This window comes from Homo sapiens, chromosome 4 (genome assembly GCF_000001405.40).
Source record: "Homo sapiens chromosome 4, GRCh38.p14 Primary Assembly".
NCBI classification, from domain to species: domain Eukaryota; kingdom Metazoa; phylum Chordata; class Mammalia; order Primates; family Hominidae; genus Homo; species Homo sapiens.
Window position 1 is genome coordinate 134,646,212 of NC_000004.12, and position 6,223 is coordinate 134,652,434.

Sequence of the window (6,223 nt, forward strand, 5' to 3'; positions counted from 1 at the left end):
ATGACCATTGACAGTATCTGTCCCTATCCTCTGAAGGGCCCACAATTAGTGCCTTACTCTAGTGCTTATTCTGTTCAAGCTACTGGTGTACTTCCTGCTATTGATGACACCAGCTAGTCATGATGAGTAGGAGCAATGGACATGCAACTACAACTGCAGCATCTTCATTACAAGCTGTAGCTGAATCTTAAAAACCTAAGTGCTTTTCTTTCACAAAATGTGAATGTTTCTACAATACTCTATTATTATATGATCCCAACTGTCATTTCAACAAGACTAACCTTTTTTTTTCCAGGAATATTCAATGAAAGAGACCCTACAGTATATCAATGATACAACCATGGGAAAAATGAGCCTGCTATAATGAAATATTTCAACTAATTGAAATGACAATTTAAGTTTATTAGAACATAGCCTGTAGGAATCCTCATTTAAACATGTAATATCCTTATATGTCAAAATAATTTGCAAATGAAAAGGGCTTATGATGAACTCCTAAGCATATGGCTTATCTGAAGTAATATTTCAGATATGTGCTATTGGTTATAGTTTTGGGGAAAATGTATGACAGCCTTGTTCCTAGTGGAAAATAAAGTGGATGTTCTAAGAAAAGTGAACCAATAATATATTTATGAATGAATAATAGCATATTATGTGTGCACATATTAATAAGTTACACATTGGAGTGTATACAACTGAAGTTTTGTGACTTGAAGAATCAAACATCCTAAACCAACACTGTACCAAGGATTACAATTTATGCCTAACAGTGAGCTTTGACTGTAGACCATTTTTTTTTAGTTTACAGAATTAAAACATAATACAAGATTGTTACAAAGAATGTAGGATTTCTTCTAAAACACAGCATGTCCTCCTGCATCTGTGAAAAGTTTGGACTCATCATCCTGCTAGGTGTAATGAGACACTGAGTCATGCACAGGCGGAAATTTGTTTTTCCAAAAAAAAAAAAAAGATAAAATTTACGGAAAGACATTTTGGTTTTGGAGGACCAGTTGAATTGATTGGTAACCTTCTATGGCCTAAATAATAATCTGATGGTAGCCTGCCAAGGAGTATACTATGATATATAATTGATTCTCAAATAATAGATGTTATTTCATTTGTAATGCATTAAAATAAATAAAAAACTGTAATGTTCTAGAGGTATTTTCTCTGAATAGCAAATCATTAATTTACACATCTGTACATGTATTCTGAATATTAAGCCCTTTAACACCTGTATAGAACAAGGCAAGAATACAAATGGGATAGAATTAAATATTTGTATTGGCAAATATTTACATGATTATACAATATGACAAAGTTTTTAATAAATCTATAGATAAACCTGAGCCATTTAAAAATATTTGTCATGGATTGAGTGCTTTCTTTTATATAATATATTATCTCTTTTAATCTTAGCGGCCATAATAAGTTGAAATTATTGTATTATTTATAGATGCAAACACTTAAGTATTGAATTGGCAATTTAAACATAAATTTGTGTGATATGAAATTCATATTGGTAACCACTGTATCATACCATCCTATAGGAGGTTTCCTTCCTTTATGGAAAATGTAACTAGAACATGAAGCTAAATAATAATGAAGTCTGGTATGGTATATTTTATATATATTCTATATTGGTACTAATACTTAAACATTAGTATTTATGTTTAAGAATGGAATTTGAAGTAGTTATAAATTTATTTCTTCATTCTTAGATCAAATTAAGTCAAAATTTGTGACTTTGAGAAATTGAATCTCATATCACTGCATGTTTTATGTGGGATAAATATTCAAAAAGGTAATGAAACTTTTAATTTTCAATTAATGTTCATGTGTGTAAGTGCGACCTGAAAATTCTTGGACACATTTTGATTATGGGGATTGTATTAGTTCATTTCACACTGCTATAAATAACTATCTGAGACTGGATAATTTATAAACAAAAGAGGTTTCATTGACTTACAGTTCTGTATGGCTGGGGAGGCCTCAGGAAACTTACAATTATGGCACAAAGTGATGGAGAAGCAAGCAACTTCTTACATGGAGATGAGAGAGAGAGAATGAGGGGGAAACTGCCACAGACTTTTAATCCATCAGATCTCTTGAGAATAAACTCACAATCATGAGAACAGTATGGAGAAAACTGCCATCATTATCCAATCACCTCCCACCAAGTCTCTCCCTCAACACATGGGGATTACAATTTGAGATGAGATTTGGCTGGGGGTCACACAGCAACACCACATCAAGGGTATCAATATTTTATACCATGTAAAATAACTTTTTATATTGACTTTTCTGAACTGGTGAATTATTTCCTTTAAATAGTACAACATAAATTGCCAATTTACTAGTTTTGTGAGAGACTCTAGCTTCCAATGTCAAAATATAAGGGATCTAAAGAGGTGCCTCAATTAAAAAGGTCATTTATAAATTAAAGAAAATCTATAAATAAAGAAATGCTATTGTGTTTTTCTATGAAGACTACTAGATTACTGGACTGGGGAAATTTTATGGCAGAAAGTGAAGGAAAACTAAAAAGCAGAGAGCAAATGTGCTTTCAGATATTATACTCAAATATGGGAAATAGCAATCAGCAAAGTAAATTCTTATTTATGAATGAGTAGGTTTGAAAGATGCAATATACTGTGTAATATTGAAAACACTTTTTCCTATGTTACATTGTACAATGGGATACATTTTTCTTGTTTTACATTGTACAATGGGATACATTTTTCTTGTTTTACATTGTACAATGGGATACATTTTCTTTTTTAATTATTTGAGACGAATTTTCACTCTTGTTGCCCAGGCTGGAGTGCAATGGTGCGATCTTAACTCACTGCAACCTCCACCTCTTCAGTACAAGCGATTCTTCTGGTTCAGCCTCCTGAGTAGCTGGGATTACAGGCTCATGCCACCATGCCTGCCTAATTTTTGTATTTTTAGTAGAGATGGGATTTCATCATATTGGTCAGACTGGTCTCGAACTCCTGACCTCAGTTGATCCGCCTGCCTCTGCCTCCCAAAGTGCTGGGATTACAGGCATGAGACATCATGCCCGGCCAGGATACATGTTCTTATAAAAATCACCAAAATTACTGAGATAAAAATATCTCTAATATAAGTGAAACAAATCAAAGTGTCAAAAAGTTTACATAGTTTCATTTATTTTAAATTTCAAAGTGTGAGAAATACAACTAGCAGAATAAACAGGACACAAATAACAATATTTACTTCTAGGTAGTTAAAATGGTCATGACAAGGGTATTTTTTATTTTATAGTTTATTGCATTTGTGAACTATTGAAATAGTTTTGATATATTTGTAGTATAATCAATTTAGGGAAAACTGTTGATACTTAAATTTTAAAATAATATGGTAAAGATCATTGGAAATTATTAGAAGTTAACATATCAAAAAAAAAATTTGGAAGAGTCTTGCATCTGGCAAGGATATCATTATCCTGAACTTGAGGTAATTGCAGGATAAATTTCTGAGTAATCCATTACCTCCAGCCATGCTGAGAATTGAAATTTTAATAAAATCAATTTGATGACTCTTAAAAATGATCTTAAATCTACAAAATCCATCAAATATATTCACTTATTCAAAAATATATTAGGATTTTTAACACTACCTACTGGTAGGGTAAAATTTCTAGGCATTGTAATTGCCATTATTACCTGGCAGTATTCTTGGTATGTTTAGAATGTGACCTAAAAGATTACATCAACAAAACCAAAATGGCAGAAAAGAAACTGCTGTCTAAAATAAGGATACTTAGTACAAAGGAAAGATTCTAAAACATTATGACTGTAATTTACTTATTCCCTATTTGTATTGCTACCAATATGGCTGTATGTAGTTTGGATCTATCATAATTCCTGTATCTTTACATTTATTGATATTGATAATGCATTAATCTTTATATAAGCTTGTATATGTATGAGAAATAATTGAAAAGATACCCAAATTTGAAAGCAACTCTTTTTGTTTATTTGATAGCTTATTATAGAAATTATCATGTACTGAACTTATTTTCAAATCAAAACTTTTCAAAACAAAAATTTAAGGTTATAACAAATAGTAAAGCATATAGAGGTACACGGAGAGATATATGGAGAATTATTTGTCAACCAAGGCAATCCCAGATTTTCCAGGATAGTTGTTTTCTGTAACTATCATTCAGTTTATAGGACAGCCTGTGTTTAGGAATTTTTCCAAAATGTTCTAATCAATATAGCTACAGTAATAAGCTAGATTACTTTGAAGCTAACAAAAATTAAGGTTCAATGTTCTTTCCTTGCAATATGCTTATATGGCTACCTTTTTTTTTATCAGTAAGAGTTACAAAAGTAAGATGATTTTAATACCAAATGCATAAGATTTTCATCTATTTCCACTGTAACTTTCCATCCCAACAGCACTCCCTAGTGTTTATGGCCTTGTATTGATTACCAATATTTTCAGCTATAAATTAAGGAAAGTTTGATAAATTTCTGGTACGGAGAACTTGGGAGATATTTACATGGTTCACATGGTCACTTACGGTATCATTCCATTGCCCACACACTTTGGCTCTAGTATTGGCTTTTGCACAATGGAATCATAGAATGCCTTTGCAAATTTTGGCTATCCCAGCCATGATAGAACTGTCCTCTTACCCTCCTGGAAAAAAAAAAAAAAACAAGCTGGAGGAAAGTCTGATTCATTTTTCTATTTTCTTGTCAAATTAAGAGAAAATCAAGGTTATACAAATAAGTATTATGTGATTTCTGGATGCTTTTGAAGTACCCATTAGTCTTTTGATTTTAAAAATTTCATTCATTCATTTATTCTGAGATGGAGTTTTGCTCTTGTTGCCCAGGCTGGAGTGCAGTGGTGTGGTCTCAGCTCACTGCAACCTCTGCCTCCCTGGTTCAAGTGATTCTCCTGCCTCGGCCTCCCTATAGCTGGGATTACAGGCGCCCGCCACCATGCTCAGCTAACTTTTGTATTTTTAGTAAAGACGACGTTTTACCATGTGGGTCAGGCTGGTTTCGAACTCCTGACCTCACGTGATCCACCTGCCTCGGCCTCCTGAAGCGCTGGGATTACAGGCATGAGCCACCGCACCTGACCTGATTTTTAGAATTTAAAAATTATTGTAATTTATTTTCTCATTCCAATTAAAAAGGGCATAGGGTCAGTCAAGTCTACCTGGAGGCTAATATACCCACAGGAATTTATGTAACCCACCAGGAATATATTCTAATGTAAAATGTCTAAACCACTTTAGGCATGGAGTAGAGAAATGATTTACACATACTTCCCTGGGGTTTACTTCTTTATAAATGATTCATTATCCAGATCAAGGCACTAGACCCTAAGAGTAACAAAATTATTAATTATGTTCATGGATTATAGCAGTAAATATTAAAATAAAAGTGAATATTCTGTTTAAAATATATATTCCATAATGTTTTCATTTAACAAAACTGAATTCCCTGATTTTATTATATAATTTGATTGTTTTTCAATTCAATTATTTAAAATGAAAGAATAAACTCATAATATATTTTCTTTATATCTTTAGCCACAATCTCTTAAAACAGCAATTAAAATTTCATAATTGTTCTTTCTTCTTTTAAAAAAATGTCCTTAATAATGCTAGAAATGAACATATAAATGCAAAGTCTCTTAAGAATTAGCTTTCCCTTTTGTTATAAATTTCTGTGTCAAATAGAGTGAGCCTTTCCATTTTTTCCCCCTGAAGACTGATTTAAATTTCTAGAGAGAACGCTCTCTTCCTTGTGGCTTCTCACATTGACTTGGGACTTTTCCCCAAGGCAGGGTCTTTCTCTACAGGGAAATCTCACAGAATTTTTTCTAATCAGAAACTCTGTGAGTTGAGTTTCCTCTGTGAGAGGAAAAGTGATATGGGATACTCCAGGGAAATACTAGTTCTAAGGTTTTCTTTTCTTTCTTTTTTTTTTCTTTTAAAGAGAATCAATTCCTTCAAGGAAGTTTCAAAATGGAAGTGTTCCTATTAATAAATAAACACCACAAAATGAAAAGGAGAATTAGTGATGATTAGTGATGATATCGGCAGTTTGGTCATCAGAGACGTGAATGAGTATTCTGACTTGTATATTATCAATTTGTTTCTATCTATAAACTAGATAGTTACATATTTTACTTGCTTTGTTCTGTATAAATTCAGCCTCCACCA